The 23,108-nt window shown below is 40.2% G+C and overlaps 1 protein-coding gene and 1 long non-coding RNA gene across 3 annotated transcripts in view, besides 1 other annotated feature; one reads left to right on the top strand and one right to left on the bottom strand.

Moving 5' to 3' along the window:
• VPS13D (vacuolar protein sorting 13 homolog D) overlaps positions 1–23,108 on the bottom strand; it is a 282,018-nt gene that overhangs the window by 132,732 nt on the left and 126,178 nt on the right. For both annotated transcript variants that reach the window (NM_015378.4, NM_018156.4), the window contains 8 exons: positions 22,792–22,918; positions 20,715–20,857; positions 16,466–16,596; positions 16,069–16,244; positions 10,725–10,848; positions 9,614–9,849; positions 5,458–5,566; positions 725–888 (listed from right to left, as the gene is read on the bottom strand). In NM_015378.4, the coding sequence (NP_056193.2) occupies positions 725–888; positions 5,458–5,566; positions 9,614–9,849; positions 10,725–10,848; positions 16,069–16,244; positions 16,466–16,596; positions 20,715–20,857; positions 22,792–22,918 (1,210 nt within the window). The remainder of the gene's footprint in view (positions 1–724; positions 889–5,457; positions 5,567–9,613; positions 9,850–10,724; positions 10,849–16,068; positions 16,245–16,465; positions 16,597–20,714; positions 20,858–22,791; positions 22,919–23,108) is intronic.
• Positions 10,447–22,592, top strand: LOC124903845 (uncharacterized). The gene is made up of 2 exons (XR_007065468.1): positions 10,447–10,566; positions 21,912–22,592. It is a non-coding gene; the product is annotated as an uncharacterized LOC124903845 (long non-coding RNA).
• Positions 20,478–20,979: an enhancer, noted in NCBI's record as "OCT4-NANOG-H3K4me1 hESC enhancer chr1:12418393-12418894 (GRCh37/hg19 assembly coordinates)". NCBI's record gives its function as "activates a minimal SCP1, AML or CMV promoter by ChIP-STARR-seq in primed H9 embryonic stem cells {active_cell/tissue: H9 hESC(primed)}" and the evidence as "EXISTENCE:reporter gene assay evidence [ECO:0000049][PMID:30033119]".

Here is a 23,108-nt window from a genome sequence, read left to right as displayed (position 1 = left end):
AAGAGGAATAAAGCAAAATGGAAAAACATGAAGAGGGGACACAAAGTAAGACATTAAAGATTTCATAACACACAGTAATATGGCTTCTTGCATTCTCAAAACGGCAACTTACCATGCAGTATGGAAGGAATAGCTGCTAAATACATGTAAAATCTTTCCAACAGTCTTTTTTCTGTTGTATTTCTAAATTCTTTTCTGTTCTAACTTGTAAGTCAACTAAAGTTTTTCTGGAAATAAGGTATTAACTGAAAACACACTGATTTTTATGGAGAAACTAAGGCACAGGCAAATCAAGTAACTTATTCAAACTTAAAGAGCTAATTTGAATCCAAGGATTTATTCATAAAAATACATCTGATTATTCTCTTAATAATTAATTTCTGCTTTTGAAGGATTTGACAAAGTTATTAGGAAGATGTAAAAAAGAAACTACTTCCTCAGAATAAGGACGGACTGGAATTTGGGTGGAAGAAATAATCACTTTTCACATTATACCCATTTTATTGTTTGAAGTTTCTTAACATCTGCATGGGTATTTCATCAAAGCTTAAAATATTTAAAGGGAAAGCCCAATACTCATATTTGGGAATATGACAGGTTTTTGTCATTGAAAAAAATATACATTTTTACTTTATTTATAGAACTCTTAGTTTTTGTTGTAGATTTCCTCTGAGTCTGAATTTGAAAGCAATGAGCTTGAATCAAAAGTTGCCTAGAAAATTACCTGTTGTCAGTCACTGCAGCGAGACCAGCAATATCTAAGATGGCAGACCCCTCGGTGGAGCGGGCGGCTGAGGGCTTATTGGGATTGTGAGGAACTGAGGAGCCCTCATGGGCCAGCATTCCTGTTCCTGTCATCCTCCACAGCTGAGAACGCTTTCCTGGTTCCTGTTAAGTAGGTACAAGCAAAAAGAGAAAGAGCCATTATGGGCAGCCACAGCTAGCTCCTCACTTCAAGAGCTTCCTCTAGGGCTAAATAAGTTCTCATATAGGAAGTTTATTTAGACGTTTTCCACATTATATAAATGCTTAATTCAAACTTTCATGGTTATCTATCTTTTGTTGTTCTTAGGGTAAAATATGCTAACCTCTTGAACCAAACAACCAAACATTACAAATAATGTGCATTTTAACAAACGTATTATTTTCATAACCGAGTTTTTTTCCTTTTTTAGAAATTAGAAACAAATGGCGGGGCAGCCTCCTACACTAGCTATACTGCCATGATCACTGCCATTCCAGATGATGACCGTCCGGTGCCCTTACCTTAAAGAAGAGTGCAATTACATAAAGACTATACGATATGCTCAATATCTGACTTTGAATCAGAATTTACCAGAGGTCTTCCTCCCCGTCCCGAATGTTTATAAGGAAAGCGTACTATATTGATGGTGTCCAATTTTCATGAATTGATTGTATCACAAGTGTTAAGTTGGTTGTATTCAAGGTTATGCTAATTGATTGCTAGTAATTCTTTTTTTTTTTTTTTTTTTTTGGGATGGAGTTTCGCTCCTGTTCTCCAGGCTGGAGTGAAATAGTGCGATCTCGGCTCACTACAATCTCTCCTCCTGGGTTCAGGCGAATTCTCCTGCCTCAGCCTCCCGAGTAGCTGGGATTACAGGCATGCACCATCACGCCTGGCTGATTTTTGTATTTTTAGTAGAGACAGGGTTTCGCCATGTTGGCCAGGCTGGTCTCAAACTCCTGCCCTCAGGTGATCTGTCTGCCTCGGCCTCCCAAAGTGCTGGGATTAAAGGCATGAGCTACCGTGCCTGGCCAGATTGCTAGTTCTAAATATATTTTCTCTTTAGAAATATTTTGGAAACAGCAGTTGGGCTTCCAGGTCAATCATGAAAGTCTATATAATCCATTATATACTAGAAGTCATAATACTTACTGAGAACTTACTATGCGCTAGACATTGGTCCATAAGACTTACATAAAACAACTCATTTAGGCCGGGCGTGGTGGCTCATGCCTGTAATCCAAGCACTTTGGGAGGCCGAGGCAGGTGTATCACCTGAGGTCAGGAGTTCAAGACCAGCCTGGCCAACATGGTGAAACCCCGTCTCTACTAAAAATACAAAAATTAGCTGGGCGTGGTGGCGCATGCCTGTAATCCCAGCTACTCGGGAAACTGAGGCAGGAGAATCACTTGAAACCAGGAGGCAGAGGTTGCAGTGAGCCAAGATTGCGCCATTGCACTCTAGCCTGGGGAACAAGAGCGAAACTCCGTCTCAAAAAAAAAAAAAGAAAGAAAAAAAGAAAAAAACTCATTTACTGCTGCAAACAATCCAGTGACATATGTCCCTCCTCATAGATGAGGAAGTTAAGGCTCGGTGAGATGAAGTAACTTCCCCACAGTGAAATAACTAGTTAGATGGTAGGTCCAACATGTGAATCTCTGCAGCCTGATTCCAGAGTCAGCACGCTTAACTGCTCTGCTATGTTGCCTCTCTAGCACAATCTGTATCATTCCTTTTCAGTCACACCTACACTCCAGCTAGATCTGCCAGGATCACATACACTCCCACTAGGCAGGAACTCCTCCAGAGCATCAGACACATCAGGGTACCACAAACTCATTTACATGCTACCCCTGGCCGGACAGATAGCTTTTTATCACATTCTACAAGGTAAAAACTAACAAAGTAGCATGAACATTGGAGTCAAAATGCCAGGATCTGAGATCCAGCTACACAATTTACAAGCTGAATGACCTTGGACAAGTTACTTAATCTCTTAGAGCCTCCGTTTCCTGATCTGTCAACGAGAAAAATTGCCTCATGGTTTTTGTGATAAGTGTAATAAATGTAACACGCTTATTAGTACATGCCTGGCACAGGGTAGAGCCTCAATAAATGTTTGTTGTGTTATTATCATTACATCTCTTTACAGACCACTTTATGTACATTATCTTAGCTAATCCTTCCAGCAAACCTGGGAGGTCAGTTGAAAAATGAAACTGAGAGAAATGGGAAATACCAGATACTATATATCTTTAAGTGGCAAAGCCAGAACTCAAACCTAAAAACACATCATGCTGTCTCTGCTGTGTGCTACTGCCTCCTCTGTCTGCAAAAAGAGATGAAGCTAAGCTGTGCTTCCCATCTCCAATTCCCACATGCTTGCTTCTCTGTTCACAGAAACAGAAAGCATCTCTGCACAGCACCAGAAACAACAGGAAAAGCATCTCGGTTATCCTGTAGATGCTGCAGACTGGGAATCAACACAGACATACCCAGGTGAGATCAAGTTTCCATACTGGGATTCCTCTACTGCCTGCCCATTTGTCCAGGCTCATCATAATTTGGAAACTACCAAAATTTCCACTTGAAAATCTGAGATGCACCATTCTCCTTCCAGTTCCCTTCCTCCCTTCCCTAATAATTTAGTTCTAAAATCTTTAGATGGGACTGTGGAAGGCAGAACTCCATGGGGCTTGTGTGTGTGGTGGGGATGGGGGTTGGGGTGGCCCAGTGTGGAATTGTTAAAGCGCATGTGGAACAAGAAAGGCATCCACCTAAGCGATGGGGCAGCCCAGAGCAGGGGCTGAAGCCAAGTTGGGAGGTTGGGGAGGGGTTTAATGGGAGCATCACAGAGGGAGGTGAGGAGGGCATTCCTGCGAAGGACAGGGTGGGAAGAGGGCAGGGCTGCCCAGTACATGGAGATCAGAGCCCAAGGGAAGAAACCAGGGTGTTCATACAGGACATGGGACAACTGTGGTGACGGAGGATGAGTTACACTGTTACATTCAGGGGAACTGATCAAATCAATAAACATATTCTCAGTGCTGGACAAGGGAAGTACAAATAGGGAAAGGGAGAAAATTAGAATGAACTTTGTCATACTGGACTTGAATTGGAAATATTGGTGTGAACTGCTAGATTTTGATATGTAGACATAGAAATAAATATGTACAGTATATAAATATGTACATAAAACACACATATGTATATTTGTGCATACATAGATTAAAAAACCCTAGGTCTGTCTTCTGAGAGAGCCTGGGAACCACAACACCACAATAGCAACAACTGCACCTAATTCATGAATCTCAGGTTTCTAAATTCCATTCTCTGATAGAAGGGATGAGGGCTCCCTGGAGAAATGGCAAATTCCAGGAATGGTGCAGGGAAAAATATAAGATTGACCCAGGATAACTTGCTGTGTCAGAAAGTAAGGAAGTGAGTGAGGGCACATGCTGAAAGCACACGGAAGGTTAAAGGAGCTCCCACTGGCCAAAGATAAGAAAAACTGAGCATCAAAATAAATACTGGCCGGGCATGGTGGCTCAGGCCTGTAATCCCAGCACTTTCGGAGGCCAAGGCAGGCGGATTACCTGAGGTCAGGAGTTCCAGACCAGCCTGGCCAACATGGCGAAACCCCGTCTCTACTAAAAATACAAGAATTAGTTGGGTGTGGTGGTGGGCTCCTGTAGTCCCAGCTACTCGGGAGGCTGAGGCAGGAGAATCACTTGAACCCAGGAGGCAGAGGTTGTAGTGAGCTGAGATCATGCCATTGCACTCCAGCCTAGGCAACAGAGCAAGACTCCATCTCAAAAATAAATAAATACATACATACATACGCATACACATACTGACACAGTAACAGATAACACGCTGAATAAAACAGCAGCCCATACTGAATGACACATATACATATGCATACATATATAGAAAATATGACAAATAGGAGGTTTATGTAGTCTCAACGTACCACGCCACAAAATCTTGACTGATTATAAAAAGAAAAAGAGTAGCCTCACTTCTCAGTGGAAAAGGCTACCACACACCTTCTTAATCAACTGCAATAAGTTAATGTCACCAGTAAGGGGACAAATCAACATCACAGCCCCACTTTGGTAAAATTCTTGCCAATTTTCTGGAAATCTGAGATTGTTTCCAAATAAAAAGTAAAAAAAACAAAAACAAACCAAACAAAAACCTAAAATGTCAAACTTTCTACACTTGGTTTCCAACTAAAAAGGAGAGGTCCATTTCTTCATGCCAGTTCATACACTTTAACCTAATTTTCAATGTCAATGTAACTCTTTTATTACCTATTTACTAGCTGTCATCCTTATCAAGTGAAATAATAACTGAAAATGTTCTATAAGTTATAAAATGTTATATAAAATGTTACAATTATTGCTACTTAATCTTAGAAATTTGTTCTTGTCTGCTTAACAGTCACCCAGCCCTTAGTAATTCCACATATATTTATTATTCACGTTCTGCTGATCACACCTGGTGATCACATCCCACTCCAGAAGTCATCTTACTCCTGAGCTGGTACTCATCCGCCCTAACACTGACCTGGAAATGCCAAGAGGCCTGGGTTCCACACAAGTCCCTATGGCCTCATCATGAAATAAGGACTCTGCACTGGGTGATCCTGAGTCCCGTCCAGTGCTAAAAACCTTGTATTCTAAACTCTGATTGTAAGCTCTCTTACCTTCTTTTTTAAAATGACTCTTTGTGTCTTGGGTGAGACATCCAAAACGAGCTCCGCACAGGTAATGGCCTTGTTGGAAGCCACAGGCCTGCCTGTTCCCTCCTGCAAGCTAGAATTTAAAAAATATATATATTACATAAAAATATATATACAGGTATACACACACATACTCACACATGTATTCAAGTATTAATAAGCAAATGCCCAAAACTTTTATTAAAAAGAAAATTTTTTAAAGGATAGAAGAAAAAGTCTGATGCAAGAGCAGAAAGATCAGGGTTGCATTTTTTTCCCTACACAGTTCCAAGATTCATCTCTCAGAAGACATACTCTGACATTTTTCTTCTCTTCATAATTTTAGTGACTTAAAATTCAGATGCAAAAGTATAACCATATATCTTTAGAGGCCCCCCCACCAAAAAAAAAGGCAAAAAATTTGGCCAGGCACGGTGGCTCCTGCCTGTAATCCCAGCACTTTGGGAGGCCAAGGCAGGTGGATCTGCTGAAGCCAGGAGTTCGAAACCAGCCTGACCAACACGGCAAAATCCCGTCTCTATTAAAAACACAAAAATTAGCCGGGCATGGAGGCAGGCCCCTGTAATCCCAGTTACTCACGAGGCAGAGGTATGAGAATTGCTTGAACCTGAGAGGCAGAGGTTGCAGTGAGCTGAGACTGCACCACTACACTCTAGCCTGGGTGACAGAATGAGATTCTGCCCCAACCCCCAAAAAAAGCAAAAAAAAAAAAAAAAAAAAAAAAAAACCAAGCCAGACAATTCAAGGGACCAAAAATTAGCTTTACTCTGCCAGGCAGATGATCAGCATCACTGCATCCCCAAGTCTTGGCAAGAAATCAGAAGTCCCTTTAGGATGAAAAGAAAACAAAGGGTTCCAATCAACTTCCTCCAATTCAATCGTGTTACGTTTCTCTGAAGCTAAAGAATCCTAAGCTTTATGGAATGTTGCAGCCTGGCTACACTTAGGGATGTTTGGAAGTTTTATTTAGATTATTCTCCTCTTTCTATTAACCCTTATTAGCAAAAAAAAAAAAAAAAAAAGGTAATGGATTAATTCAGCGTTAAAAACTAGTCTTCATGACACCAAAAGCACAAGTAATCTTTGTTCCCCCCAAAGCAGATAAATTATATGTGACCAAAATGAGAAACTTCTGTGCTTGAAAGGACACAATCTAAAAGTAAAAAGAAAACTCACAAAAATAATGGGAGAAAAAAATTGCAAATCATACATCTGGTAAGAGACCAGATATGAAGAACTCTGACAATTCAACAATAAAAAGGTAAATAATTCCATTTGAAATATGGAAAGTATTTGAATACACTTTCTCCAAATAATATACACAAATGACTAATAAGCACATGAAAAGACGCATAACATCATTAGTTACTAAGGATGCAAATCAAAAGCCACAATGAGATACCACATCATACCCAGTAGGATGGGTATCATTTAAAACAAAACAAAACAAAACAAAACCAGGCCTGGCACAGTGACTCACACCTGTAATCCCAGCACTTTGGGAGGCTGTGGCAGGTAGATAGCATTTGGGCCCAAGAGTTTGAGACCAGCCTGGGCAAAATAGTGAGACCCTGTCTCTACCAAAAAAAAATTTTTTTTCAATTAGCTGGGCGTGGTGCTGCATACCTGTAGTCCCAGCTATGAGAGAGGCTGAAGCAGGAGGACCGTTTGATCCTAGGAGGTTGAGGATGCAGCAGGCCAAGATTGTGCCACTGCACTCCAGCCTGGGTGACAGAGACCTTGTCTCAAAAATAGAAATAAAAATAAAAACAAAAACAAAAACCAACACATGTTGGTGAGGATGTGGAGAAATTGGAACCTCTCTACACTGTTGGTAGGAATGTACAATCGTTTAGCCACTGTGGAAAACAGTATGGCGGTTCCTCAAAAAGTTAAACTTAGAATTATAATAGAACCCAGCAACTCCACTCTTCTGTATAAAGCAAAAGAATTGAAAACAAGTACTCAAACAAATATATGTACAGGCATGTTCATAGCAACACTGTTTACAATAGCCAAAACGCAGAAACAACCAAATGTCCATCAACAAATAACTGGATAAACAAAAATGTAGTATACAGCATAGTATTCAGCCACAAAAAATACTGGGTACTTTTCATAAAAAAAATGGGCCAGGAGCAGTGGCTCAAGCCTGTAATCCCAGCACTTTGGGAGGCAGAGGTGGGTGGATCGCCTGAAGTCAGGAGTTCGAGACCAGCCTGACCAACATGGTGAAATCCCATCTCTACTAAAAATACAAAAAAATCAGCCAGGCGTGGTGGCATGCACCTGTAATCCCAGCTACTCAGGAGTCTGAGGCAGGAGAATCGCTTGAACCCGGGAGGTGGAGGTTACAGTGAGCCAAGATCACACCACTGCACTCCAGCCTGGGAAACAAGAGCAAAACTCGGTCTCAAAAAAAAAAAAAAAAAGAATGAAGCATTGCCACATGCTACAATGTGTATAAACCGCAGATACATTATGCTAAGTGAAAGAATCCAGACAAAAAAGATCACTCCTATGATTCCATTTCTGTGAATGTCCAGAATAGGTCAACCCATAGAGACCAAAAGCAGATGGGTGGTTTCCTGCGGCTGGAGACAGGGAGGAATGGGGAGTGACTGCTCAATAGGTTTTGGTTTCTTTTCGGGGTGATAAAAATGCTCTGAACTACGAAGAGGTGGTGGTGGCACAACATTATGAATGTACCAAATGCCACTGAACTGTTCACTTTAAAATACTTTTATGTTATGTTTCACCTCAAAAACAAAATTAAAAAAAAACTATTCTTCCTCATCATTTATTCCTTCCAAGAATGCAAATAATTAGTATCTGATATACTCCAAAAGATGGTTCAACCTCTTAGCACAGCAAGATTATTCTAATTCTGCTGTTAGATTCTGCACACCAAGATTCCAGGAGCTTCTCTTTTTATGTCTTCCATATAGGTTCAACCCATTAAGCCCATAATCCTCCACTAGGATTCTTCAGTTAAAGAGCTTAGTAACTACTGGAATTTATAGAACATAAGGAGAAAAACATGACTAACAACCAGATTTAGATTCGGTTTTTCAGGCATTAAACCTTAAGCATGTCCCACTGTTAAGTGCCATAATCTTTAAAAACAAATTAACAACAAACAAACATATTGACTCAATTACAACAAGATAAACATCCTAGCACCATCGTTCCCAAAGGGAACGTCAACAGACAAAGAAAGAATGGTCCTTCTCTGCAGATTCAATTATTACTAGTGAAATCTGGACTCTAAGCAGATGAGAGAGATAATGCAAAAACCCAGAGATTATTTTCTGGGCCCCAGGCATGTATAAAAATCTTATTCATATGCAAAAATGTTCCGAACATTTTGGAAAGGAATGTGACTTTAAACGCCCTATTCATCAGGTGATTTATATTTGTAATGTTAAAGATTAAGCTATTTTCCATTTCTTCACAGATACACTTTAAAATTGGCCCTGTTATTTCAGCACAGAAACAATAAGCTATATTTATATGTTGGTAGAATGACTACTTTCTGAAAGCCCAGTGTTTTGAATCTCTGCGTGGCAATCTAACAGAATTAAAATAAGCTCAATATTCTTCATCTGACTTTTCTAAATACAACTAGTCAAACAACAGTGAAGATTATAATTCTAAGGCAATGGAATTTCTGTGAAATTAAGCTACTATATTTGGCTTTAGGTGAATATTAAGACAGACCCTTAGGTGTCTGCTTAACCAGTATTCTCAATGGGATGGTGGGAGGAGAGTCAGAATGATGACTTGAATAATTATGATGAAGATTAGTCAGTTTCAAAAGAGGAAACAGGCAAAACAGACTAATAAATAGCAAAAAGAAAATTTAAATACTAGAATGAATTCTTGGGAGAGATCTTTAACACAAGAAGGGTCTTGACTCTTTGGATAAATTTTAATCTAGCCAAAAGTCAAGAGTTTAAATTACATGACCTCTTAAGATAGACACTGAGCCCAGGGTTTGGTAAAGAATGAAAGAATCTTCCTTTGTACTTTGGTCTCCTAAGAAACTGCTTAACATTTAAAACCTGTTAATAATTAGAACCTTCTGCTTTATAGGAACAGTAATTTAATCAAGAATTACCCAGAGAATGTATATGTAGCAGCAATGTAAATGAAATTTTCATAATAAAGCTGCCGATTATCCTGGAAATCATTCATGTTGCAGTTGATCTCAGAGGACCCTGCCCCTTTAACAGTCAGAGTGATAAAAGGTGGCAAGGTGGGTTCGTCCCAGGCATAATCCAATGAAGTCATGGGCTTCACTTCAGTCCGGAGCCTGGGTTCAGCTACGCCATGCTGAGTAAAGACAACCGGGACCTAGAGTGATGGCAGAGAGGACAAAGAGGACTTTCATTCAGAGTGGGGTTACTGAAAAGTGAGTCAGTGCTTTGTAGGTTTAAGTTCCAAATCCTTCCTAAATGAATCTTACACAGGAAATAAGCCCCAGTGAAATTCATCATCTCACCTTTCGAATGTTTCTAATCATCTTGCACATTCCAAAAAAACTCACCAATTAAAAGACATGTGCTACACACACACACACACACACACACAGATACACACACACATATATACATATATCCTATTGAATGAAAGGCTTTAAACGCTTTGCCAAGTCAAATATCTAAGGGGAGCAATTCCATCCTTCCAATGGCATCTTTCTAGCCCAAACCCCCTATGATATATTTTGAATACAGAAAAAAATAAGTATTTTGGAATTTGGCTACAGATCATCACATATAAGACCTATTATTATTTGAAAGCATAATTAAAATAAAATCTAATGATTTCCATATTGACTTTCTTGAAAAATTTATTAAAATGCTCACTGTAACTAAGCAACAGCAGAATTGCCCATTCCCATTGTCACTGACAAGCCGATGTCTTCCTCTGTTTGAACGGGATGTCTACAGAAGGCACAGTGTCAACCAACCACTCTAGCCAAAATAAATAAATCTGGGAGCTAAAAGATTACTTCTGCCTGGACAAGGCTGCCTAGCAATCAAAATAACCAGCAGAAAACACCTCTTAATGGTAAGGATTTCTAGGCTTGTCCAGATATAAAGAACCTATCCATATAGTTTCCTTTAAACCCAAGTTGAAAATGTATTGTACCATTGTGTCAAGGGCAGTACACACTCCACCCTCCCACACATGAAACAGTCAAACTGGCTCTCAGCTCCACTTGATACCTTAGAAAAGTTGTCAATTCGGAAAGGAGGAGGTAACTGATCTGTGTCACTAAATGAGATCCTATACGTAGCTCCTCGGAGAGTAATTTCCACTCGTAGGAAGAAGCATTTTCCCAAGGTATCCCTGCAGGACAAGGAAACAAAAGAGGCTACATAAAATGTAGGAGACAAGATGCCATCCACTTACTTCTCATATTTCTGACAATCACAACACTGTTTGGGCCTCAGTCAATACCACTGAACTTACAGCCCACTGTGTGTTCCTCCATCATCTGAAAAAAGTAGAAATTGGTAATATGATTACAAAATGGTGATTTTCTAATTCTCCCATTTCCTCAACATTTATACGCTGATATTCTGCTGTAAAGAAGAGGATGGATGGATGTAATGTACGTGTATGTATGTATGTGTGTGTGTATATATACAGAAAAATCGCTGAAGGGAATGGAAAGTTTACCTTAACGGAAAAATATCAGTGAATAAATGTAGAGGAAATTAGAGAATTAAAAATCAGCATTTCTGGCTGGGCATGGTGGCTCACACCTATAATCCCAGCACTTTGGGAGGCCAAGGTGGGAGGATCACTTTAGCCCAGGAGTTCGAGACCAGCCTGGGCAACGTGGTGAGACCTCATCTCAATTAAAAATAAAAATAAAATAATTAATTTTTTAAAAATCTGCATTGCAGCCGGGTGTGGTGGCTCACGCCTGTAATCCCAGCACTTCGGGAGGCTGAGATGGGTGGATCACGTGGTCAGGAGATCGAGACCATCCTGGCTAACACAGCGAAACTGCGTCTCTACTAAAAATACAAAAATATTAGCCAGGCTTAGTGGCAGGCAGCTGTAGTCCCAGCTACTCAGGAGGCTGAAGCAGGAGAATGGTGTGAACCTGGGAGGCGGAGCTTCCCGAGAAGCTCCGAGATCGCGCCACTGCACTCCAGGGAGCCGAGATTGTGCCACTGCACTCCAGCCTGGGCGACTGAGCGAGACTCTGTTTCCAAAAATAAATAAATAAATAAATAAATAAATAAATAAATTTCATCGCAACCACCAATGTAATAAGTGATTCAAGAACCATTAAACCATTGAATGAAAGGTTTTTGGGAAACAGAATATTCACTTTGTCTTAAATTATTCCCTCAATGGGATTATTCTTATTTACAAAGAACAAAGGAAACTTCACAAAAAAGAGGCCTGCTGGATACCACCTTAACCAGGTGAAGAACAACTTATCACCAACAATAATGAGACCAACAGACATCACAGGCATCCTGATGTGACATGGTGGGAAACACACAGCATCACATAGAAAGTATAGCTATCGAAAATATTTGACCCAAATCTACAGACAGGAAATCACTGCCCAAATGCAGAAAATAGGACATTCTACAAGAAACTTGCTTGGAGTCTTCAAAAATGTCAATGTCACTAAAGACAAAATGGGCAAAGCGGGACTACTCTAGATTAAAGAAGACAAGAGAATACACGTGGCAACTAAAATAAATGATCCTTGACTGGATCCTAGATCAATGGGAAGGGAGTTGCTATGAAGGACATTCTAGTCATTCATTCAGTCTATGAAAACTATTTATTAGAAAACATATCAAGGTTAAATTTCATCAGTATGTGACAATAGTATTATATTTAATTAGAAAAATGTCCCTATTTTTGGGTGATAAGTGAGGTTTTTATGGCTTAAGTATCATGATGACTTTAATTTACTTTCAAATAGTTCAGAAAGGAAAATGTGTGTTCATGTATGTGAAGAGAGAAGCAACATGTAGCAAGATGCTGAAAACTGGTTAAATCTAGGTACAAGATATAGGGATATTCATTTACTACTTTTGTAACTTTCCTATAGTTTAAATTGTTTCCAAATGAAAAGGTGAGGAAAGTAAATGAAATAGATGGCATAGGTCTGTTCGCAGTAGTTTAGGACTGCCCGTTAAAACCATTTTAAAAGGATTAACAAAAATTACACAAATCATCCTCCTCCTCCTCCAAACTGGCTTCCAATTCTCACACAACAGATAGGGGCTGCCTCTACCCAGGGAATATACAAAACAATGGTGGTTTTCGCTATAGAATCCCTTTTCCCTCCCCACTCCTTCACCCAGATAAAATCTTACGGGGAACACATTATGCTAACAGACAAAAGTGCTGGTTGAGGTAGGGATGAGAGTGCTAGAGCCCTACCCAATAGGCTCCCTTGGGCACTAGAGTCACCTCCTTAAAACCCAACAGCTCCTAAAAACATAGCCTAAAACCCACTATATCCAGATCCAATTCACACTAAAAAAGACAAGGGCAAAGTATAATTAAGAAGGGCTCACTATTGAATTAGATAATACATTTAAAAGTCAAATATAAATACTATCTTGGGGCCAGGTATGGTGGCTCACACCTATAATCCTAGCACTTTGGGAGGCCAGGGCAGGAGGATCACTTGAGACCAGAAGTTCCAGACCAGCCTGGGCAACATAGTGAGACCTTGTCTCTACTTTTTTCTATTTTTTTTTTTTTAAATTAGCCAGGCATGGTGGTGCATGCCTATAGTCCTAGCTACTCAGTAGGCAGGAGGGTCACTTGAGCCTAGGTGTTCAAAGTCACAGTGAACTATGATTGCACCACTGCACTCAAGCCTGGGCAATAGAGCAAGACTCTATTTCCAACAAAAACAAAAACAAAACCACTATTTTAAGAACTATTTTGGAATATCTATTGTTAAATTATCATACTTCTGTTCCTTTGTAATAGTGTTCTCAATAGAGAGCTGACCATAAAGTATAAAAGATTAAATTTTGCTTCTAAACATGTTGAAATAGCACTGATTTCAGATTCTTTAACTTCAAAAGCATTTGATGAAAGAATTTTTTTTTTTTTTTTTGAGACAGAGTCTCACTCTGTCACCCAGGCTAGAGTGCAACGGCACGATCTCGGGTCACTGCAACCTCCGCCTCCTGGGTTCAAGTGATTCTCCTGCCTCAGCCTCCTGAGTAGCTGGGATTACAGGTGCACACCACCATGCCTGGCTAATTTTTGTATTTTCAGTAGACATGGGGTTTCACCATGTTGGTCAGACTGGTCTGGAACTCCTGACCTCGTGATCCGCCCACCTAGGCCTCCGAAAGTGCTGGGATTACAGGCGTGAGCCACCATGCCCGGCCTGATGAAAGAAACTAAAGACACAACTGAAAAGACTTCCCATGTTCAGGGACTGGAAAACATAATTTTTAAGATGTCAATACTACAAAACCCTATGGACTTAATGCAATCCCTATCAACATCCCAATAGCATTTTTTGCAGAAACAGAAAAATCCATCTTGAAATTCATATGGATCTAAGGAACTCTGAATAGAGAAAACAACCTTGAAAAAGAACAACAAAGTTGGAGGTCTCACATTTCCTTATTCCAAAATTTAATACAAAGCAACTATAATCAAAACAGGGTGGTACTGGCATAAAGACATATAGACCAATGAAATAGATTAGAGTGCCCAGAAATAAACTTCCACCTGTAGGGTCAAATGATTTTCAACAACAGTACCAAGATCATTTAATGGGAAAGGAGAGTCTTTTCAATAAACAGTGCTGAGAAAACCAAATATCCACATACCAAAAAATGAAGCTGGACCCTCACCTTATGCCATACACAAACATTAACCCAAAACAAATCAAAGACCTAGAAGTAAGAGCTAAAACTATAAAACGCTTAGAATAGGAATTCCTACAATTCAAAAACAACCTAATTCAAAAATTGGCAAAGGAATTGAACAGATATTTTTTCCAATGAAGATATACAAATGGCCAAAAAGCACATGAAAAGATGCTCAACATCACTAATCATTAAGGAAATAAGAATCTAAACCACAGTGCGATACCACCTCATACCCATTATACAGAGGCGGGACTATCACTTAAGGCTTGTGTCAAAAACAAAGAAAACAAGTGTTGGTGAGGTTGTGGAGAAAGTGGAATCCTGTGCACTGGTGTCAGGAAAGTAAAATGGTGCAATGACTGCAGAAACCTATGGTGGTTCCTCAAAAAATTAAAACCAGAATGATCATGTGATCCAACAATTCCACACCTGGATCTATACCCAAAATAACTGAAAGCAGGGTCTTGAACCCATATGCGAACCTATGTTCGCAGCAGTTCATGATAGCCAAAGGTGGAAGCAACCCAAGTGTTCATTAATAGGTGAATAAACAAAAATGTTAATATGGACATTGACAATATTATGCTAAGTGAAATAAGCCAGTCACAAAAAGACAAATACCGTATGATTAAACTCACATGAGGTACCTAGAGTAGTCAAATTTATAGACACCAAGTAGAACATGGTGGCCAGGGACTAAGGGGAATGGGAATGAGGAGTTAAGTTTAACGGGTACAGAGTTTCAGTTTTGCAAGATGAAAAGAGTTTGGGGGATTATTTCCATAATAATGTAAATGTACTTACACCAGTTAACTGTATACTTAAAAATGGTTAAGATAGTAAATTTGATATCTGTTTTACCACAATTTAAAATATTTTTAAATAATTTTTTTAAAGTATTTGATGAAAGCAAGAAGAAAGTTTAAATCATCCTGGGCTAATTAAGGCTGATTTTTTTTTTTTTTTTTTTTTTTTTTTTTGAGATAGAGTCTTACTCTGTCGCCTGACTGGAGTGCAGTGGCGTGATCTGAGCTCACCACAACCTCCGCCTCCCCGATTCAGGCGATTCTCCTGCCTCAGCCTCCTAAGTAGCTGTGACTACAGCCACACACCACCACGCCCAGCTAATTTTTGTATTTTTAGTAGAGACGGGGTTTCATCATGTTGGCCAGGATGGTCTCAATCTCTTGACCTCGTGATCCGCCTGCCTCGGCCTCCCAAAGTGCTAGGATTACAGGCATGAGCCACTGCGCCCGGCCTGGTTAATTTTTCTTAACAAGAACTGAGTGTTACCACATTAGGTGTAGAAAGCCAGATGATTTACTAGAACAGCATCAAATGAAAGAAGGTTTTGTATAAATATGTCAGAATATACAAAAATATTTATAATGAGCGTTACCATCTAAATGCAGACAGACCTTTCAAAGTTGCAGGTAATCAAAATATGAGCTCAGTGTTACTCTTTGGATTAGACAACAGCAATTACACCATGGTCAAAACGGGCAACACCTCCTTTAGTTTATTCCATCAAATTATCCCCTCACACTTCCCTGGACTTTGCAAGTTCTAAGACCTCTGTCTGAGCCAGAAATATTTGTGCCCATTTTACACAAGGCTTGTTATTACAGTACTGCATCTCAAACAGGGGCTACCTTTTTGTCTATATTTAGAGTCTCAAACTTACCTCATGTTGATATGGAAGGAATTATTCTTGTTGACTTCAAAGCCTCCAGACCAAATACAATTGGGAACGTCCATCAGTCTGACACACAATAGCTGATCATAGTCATTCCGAGGCCAGTGGAACACCACACTGGAACCAGGAAGGGTGGAAATGTAACCTTCGGGATTGGCTGTTCCCTAAAACACATAGGATCACAGGCTTTAGTCAACAAGTCGATTCATGACAATAAGTGTTACTGAGTACCTACTCTGAGCCTTACCCTCTAACAGGAGCTATCTGGGTACCAAAGGCACAGAGCAGTTACTTGCATCACAGAACGTACAGTCTTCACAGAAGATGACATTAAAACTCGTGCTATTAAATAGGCACTCTCATCCTTCAAAAGCAAACTGCTCACCTGTCCCCTGGCAAATTCCCTCTGTGCAAATGCAAGCTTGTGAGATGATTTATTATCTAACAGGTAACGGGGGGCAAAGATGACCATGCAGGTATCAATGTATCGACCTCGGCCTTTCTTGACATCAATACCTACAAATAACAAGAACCACTTTTATGAGTTAACCATGAAGAGAGAAAACTCTTGGTCTGACAAAAATAAATAACCTTCACAGTTACTTAGTTTCTCTGAGAAAATAACTGTATCACCCAGAGGATATTGAACCTTCTAGGAATGTAATGAAAACAGCAATTGTACTCAAAGTATTATTACTCCTTATTCCCATTTAGGCCTTAAAAAGGTTCAGAGGCAAGATCAACATCCCCTTAATTCCTAGTTTCTTCACACAGTGTGTACCATTTAACAGCAACTAAAATACACAGGTGTCCAGTCACATATATGTTAGGTTTCCATTTATGAAGCTGAATACTTACAACAGTTTCACATGATACTTTTTGGCTTACACCTGGGACACAAAATTTCCTTCTAGAGAACCTGCCACTTTTACAGATACAGTGGAAATTTCAGATTACTTTCTTGGATTCTGTAATGTTCTAAACTTTACTGACTCTTCTCCAGTATTTTATTTTAGCCCATTGCCCAAGAATCCAGCTCAAACATAATGCTAAGTACTATAGAACTTATTCATGGCCGGGTGTGGTGGCTCATGCCTGTAATCCCAGCACTTTGGGAGGCCGAGATGGGTGGATCATTTGAGGTCAGGAGTTCAAGACCAGCCTGGCCAACATGGCGAAACCCCATCTCTACTAAAAATACAAAAATTAGCTGGGCATGGTGGCACGCACCTGTAGTCTCAGCTACTCGGGAGGCTGAGGCAAGAAAGAGAATTGCTTGAACTTGGGAGGCAGAGGTTGCAATGAGCCAAGATTGCACCATTACACTCTAGTCTGGGTGACAGTGTGAGACTCCGTCTCAAAAAATAAATAAATAAAAGAATTTATTCATCTATAAAATTACTGTTTTCAGCGCCTACTATGTATTAGGAAAAAATAAGAAAACAGTCCAAAGGAAATCTCAAGACAGCCGGTTCCAAATATAGAAAAGCACTGAAATATCTTAAAAACTCTGATAACAATTTTTAAAAATAAAAAATTCAGGCCGGGCGTGGTGGCTCACGCCTGTAATCCCAGCACTTTGGGAGGCCGAGGCGGGCGGATCACGAGGTCAGGAGATCGAGACCATCCCGGCTAAAACGGTGAAACCCCGTCTCTACTAAAAATACAAAAAATTAGCCGGGCGTAGTGGCGGGCGCCTGTAGTCCCAGCTACTTGGGAGGCTGAGGCAGGAGAATGGCGTGGACCCGGGAGGCGGAGCTTGCAGTGAGCCGAGATCCCGCCACTGCACTCCAGCCTGGGCGACAGAGCGAGACTCCGTCTCAAAAAAAAAATAAATAAATAAATAAATAAATAAATAAATAAAAATAAAAATAAAAAATTCAGTGGGATGAATTTATTCACTCATTCATTCAGACAATAAATACAGCAATGACATTCAACGTACTGGGCTGAGCTCTGGTCACCCATTGATAAAAATATTTATCATAGAAATAATAAAAATAACAACAACAACAACAATAATAATAATTACTGGTCTCTTAATACATGCTAGGTCCTCCCCCAAAGGCTTTACACTGAATCCCCATAACAACCTTCTAAGTTAGATATTTTAATTATTTCCATTTTATAGATGAGGAAACGAAGGCATGGAAAGCTAAGTAACTGACTCTATGTCACGCAGCTAGTATGTGCCATAACTGGGATTCAAGTCCAGGCAGTCAGCCTCCGGAGCAGCACCCTCATCAGGCTTGCTTGTATTGTGATGCGACATATACAAGGACTGCACTCCATTCAGCAGTCATCAAGTATCAAGAGAACCATTAAAATAGAAAACTCCACCTTAGCATTTGACAACCGGCTGTCATAGATTTCTCAACACAATCCCAATTATAAATATTCCAATCTGTAAATGCCGTAATTCACTTAAACTGGCTTGAAAATGCTGATGTTCCTTTAACACAAGCCTTGAAAATACCTGAAAGACTGAGAAAAGTCACACACAAAAATCTCTCTAAAACTCTGTATCTAAGAAATGCTATGTAATATTGGGATATGGAACTATACCCTATCACTTCTTTCTGTGACATGCAGAGAAGCTTTCATTGTCAGAAATCAACATTATCATAGTTAGGTGATATCTAATAAAAAGTCTAACTACAAAAGATGTATCTAATTTAATATTATAAAAAGAGTCTAGGGTACTCTGAACAATACAGACACTCAATCTTTGGAAAAAGGTGGGCTTCTTTCCCCCTTCACATCTTATATTGCCCTGGGAAACCCCTGATAAATCAATAAGTTGATAAGATCAACAGGCACAAAATCGTTCTTTTTGGAGATCCATGTGAGGCTACCTGGCAAGCCTGTCCCTGGCTTTTCAGTTTGGACTATGCTTTAAACTTTCCTGATAGGGAGTTGGTTATCTATCCTATTCTTCAAAATATTCAAGCAGGAGATTCCACAAATTCCCTTGTGGGAATATACGGCAAAAGTTCATGACCCTCAAGAATGATAAAGTCCTATCTTAGCCCACTCCCTCTATCCCTTCCCTAGGTGGATCAACAAAACTTAAATCACAGTCTTAGCCCTCAAAACATATGCCATGAGCTTTAGTGAATGCTCCTAGCATAACAGCTTATATGGGTAATCACTGCATATGTCTGATCGGTTTGCTCAACTGGCCTCTGCAAGAATTCTGTGGTTCTTAGTGCTAGCTGCTATAAAAGGAACAAGCTCCTCCCATCCCAATTTGTCCCAACTACAGCTTCCAGTCAACCTGTGGTAGCTTGCTTTGCAAAATACATCAAGGGCAAAACACTCCAGCAGAAAGCCAAACTCAGCATAAAGCAGCCTTTGCCTATTCAAAGGGTGGAGCAAACGAAAGTGAGAACAAGTTAAGATAACTATCCTGTGCTGCAAGATCAAATCAAGTTTCTTTCTTTTAAAAATCTTAATGTCAACTTTAAGAAGACAGTTCACATGTCAAGGGAGAATGAATACAAACCTATGATTAAAAATCCAAAGAGGAAACTATACTTGGAAGATTCTTTTATTAATAAATCCTCAGACATTTAAACATATCTTTGATTCTCCATGGGACTCAGGATAAATATGTAAATGATATCACATCAGTTTTTCCTTGCTCTAGGAAGGAACTATGACACTATGTGCATACTGTCCAATACGGTGCCAGTAGCCATATGTGGCTATTTAAAGCTAAATTCATTAAAATTAAATAAAAATTCAATTCCTCAGCCATACTTGCCTTACTTCTCACTAATGTGCTCTCCAGGGCTCAGCAGCCACATGTGGCTAGTGGCTACTACTAGATAGTGCAAAATAGAACATCTCCATCATCACAGAAAGTTCTACAGGACCATGCAGTCATAGATGGTGTTCCAATGTTCAAAACTAAACATTGCTTTGAGAGGCTGGGAAATTATATACTGAAAGGATGCGCTGCTACAATTTTCACCCTGATTCATATTTCAATCAAATTATCTTAACCCTTTAGAGAATCTTTTGAGCGTTCTCAAGTGGCTATGAGGCATATGGGTACAGTATCCTCCCCTCCCCTTTCCACCCTTCCCATCTCCATAAGCAAAGTGAGTCTGGAGATTGCTTTAATTACTACAACCACCAAGTGCATTTTATTTGTATCCCCCAATCCTGATCCTACTTCTGACCCAGACTTCCCCTTTGCATCTAGGCAGGTCACTTAACCTCTCTCCTTCAGTTTCAAGGAGAACAATGCTTCTTACCCTCTTAGGGCTTGCAAATTTTAATGAATGCGTGGGAATACTTGGAGGATGAAAGGCATGCTAAGTGTTCCTATTATTCCCCCGAAAAACAAGGATTCAAGCCAAACTGATACTTTCCTGACACAGGTGAGTCTGAAATTAAACAGAGCCACAGACCTCAAAAGGGCAGTGTTTAGGTGGCTCCTCAGATCCCCAGGAGAATAGATCTGTGTTGATATCACTGTAGCATTCAGAGAACAGATACCTGACCCAATGCCAAATAAGAAAATCAGTACTTGTAGTCAGGCCAAAATGCATGGCCAGGTCATTCCTCCAAGCCTGAGGTCATCGGCCAATGGTTCTGATTGTCCCGCTGCCCCAAATGTAACCCACCAATGTTATAGATCAGCCCTGGGCGGTTTCCTTGCTGGATGACTTTCAAAGCTCGGACACCACTACCACCATCCAGGGAGAAGCCCTGACACCAGCCCGGCATGCCTTCTGGATGAATCCCCCTTCCGATTCTCATCGTGCAGCTGTGGGGCAGAAAAGCAAAGATGTAGATATTCATCCACAAGAAAGTCTTATCTGCCTGTTCTAATTGGGAAACACTAATACAGTTATCACCCAAGTTCCATCTCTACCACTGACTCTCTTCCTCACTCTCATGTGATTCCCTAGCACAGTGACAAAATTCATCAGTGGTTAAAGCTGTATCTTAGAGGCAGCCACAGTACAACAGTGTGTGAAATTTACTGACATCTACAACTAAATGCTTTAGGAGAAAACATTAGGATTCTATGAATATAACACATGAGGAAAGTGGTGCAATTTCTAATATTCCCCTAAAAATAAAGAATTCAAGTCAAACTAATCCTTTCCTGACTCTGCTGTTTCAAGGGTTCATTTTAAAAAGCACAAGAAGCATATGTACAGAAGATACAGGTATGATGCATTACTTCTAAGGGCTGATACTTTTTTTTTTTTTTTTGAGGTGGAATCTTGCTCTGTCGCCCAGGCTGGAGTGCAATGGTACAGTCTAGGATCACTGCAACCTCCGCCTCCCAGGTTCAAGTGATTCTCCTGCCTCAGCCTCCCAAGTAGCTGGGACTACAGGCGAGCGCCACCACACCCGGCTAATTTTTGCATTTTTAGTAGAGAAGGGGTTTCACCACGTTGGCCAGGCTGGTCTCAAACCCCTGACCTTGGGATACGCCTCGGTCTCCCAAAGTGCTGGGATTACAGGCATGAGCCACCGTACCCAGCCGGCCTGATACTATTACAATAGCAAAGCACTGTTTAGTGGGCCAGTGTCCTGTCATGGATTTCGACAACATAATTCCTGAATGTGTGTTCCAGCTCTACCACTAACAAGCGATGTAAACTTGGGCAGGTAGCAATCTCTCTGAGCCTGTTTCCTCATCTTAAAATATAACAATATTTCCTGCCCTGCCTAAACCATTGGGATGGTGGGAAGAATCCAATGAGATGGTCTATGTGAAATGCTTTGGGAACTGTGGAATTCACAGATAAAACACACTGTGTGACACATGTCAAGTCCTAAATCTAAAACTGTCCAAATCATTTCAGGAGAAGAATGAGACTGGGCTGGCTGCACATGCCAAGAGGCTGGCTGCATCCCCTACAATATCCAGAACTCTCATCAATCCTCTTTCCATGCCTCAAACGGTAATCTACACTCCAACCTTCCCTTGTAAACACATCAGTACCCACTGAAGTGTGGTACCCCAGAAGACTTTCTGTTAAGCTGTCAGCACGATTCTACCGATAACACGGTATGGCATTTTAGCATTATTGGATACACCCATTTATCTTTGATTAGAGCTCTATTAAAAGACTCTTGTAAAAAGCAAAATGTCAAAACCAAGAACAAAAGTGAATTAATGCTCCTACCATACATTAAAAGCACATGTCATCTAATCCTCACAGTTGTTTTTTGTCCCTGCTTTTAAACATGCAATGAGTGCTCTGAGACCATAAAATGGCACATTTTACTTCAAAGGTAAAAGGGATGAATTTCCAAATGTGATACAAATCCTGGATTGGATTAATGAGGCTGACGGCTTCACCAAAGAACCAGCCTATGTCCATTCTGATGACAGCTCCTGTGCCTGTGCTCCAAGTTTACAGGGGAAGAAAAACTGCAGAGCAGAGAAGGAGAACTCGTGGCTTTCTCTTCGTTGGCAGAGTTATGAATAGGAAAACTACTTCAATGCATGTAAAATAAAACTAGCTTTCATTATAAACCAACCAAATGGTTTATTTTCAGTATCAAATAACATAGAAATTAGATCCCCAAAAATCCCATTAGGTCATGGTTCTATTCCCCTGCCAAGTCAGGATTGTTATCTACAGTATATTTCTACTTACACGGATATATTATAGCCTTTACTAATTTCTTCCCTTCCCTGGGAGCTTATTTCCCCTTCCCATAAATAACTGTACTCACAGGTTTGGCTGCTCTTTGTCAGCATAGCAGAATAAGAGAGGACTCAGGCTACGGGCCAGCTCATGCTCCTCAAACTGGCCTGCAGCATCTGTCTTGGCATTGTCCTGTCTGAAGATCAGTGGCAACCCTTTAGGAAGGAGAGAAAAGTTTACATCAATACCACCCAGTCTATCTGAAAGAGATGCAAATGGTGAATGAATAAAACCATCAAGCGGGAAAAGAGTGAAAACTGAATCTATTTAGTGGGCTCAGTTTCTTGCCTAAAAAGACAGTTTTGAGCATGATTAAGCATTTATGATGGAAGCAGGAATGTTTCA

Source organism: Homo sapiens, chromosome 1 (genome assembly GCF_000001405.40).
Source record: "Homo sapiens chromosome 1, GRCh38.p14 Primary Assembly".
In the NCBI taxonomy this organism is placed as follows: Eukaryota; Metazoa; Chordata; class Mammalia; order Primates; family Hominidae; genus Homo; species Homo sapiens.
Note: the sequence above shows the minus strand (reverse complement) of the source record. Positions and strands in the feature narration are given on the sequence as shown.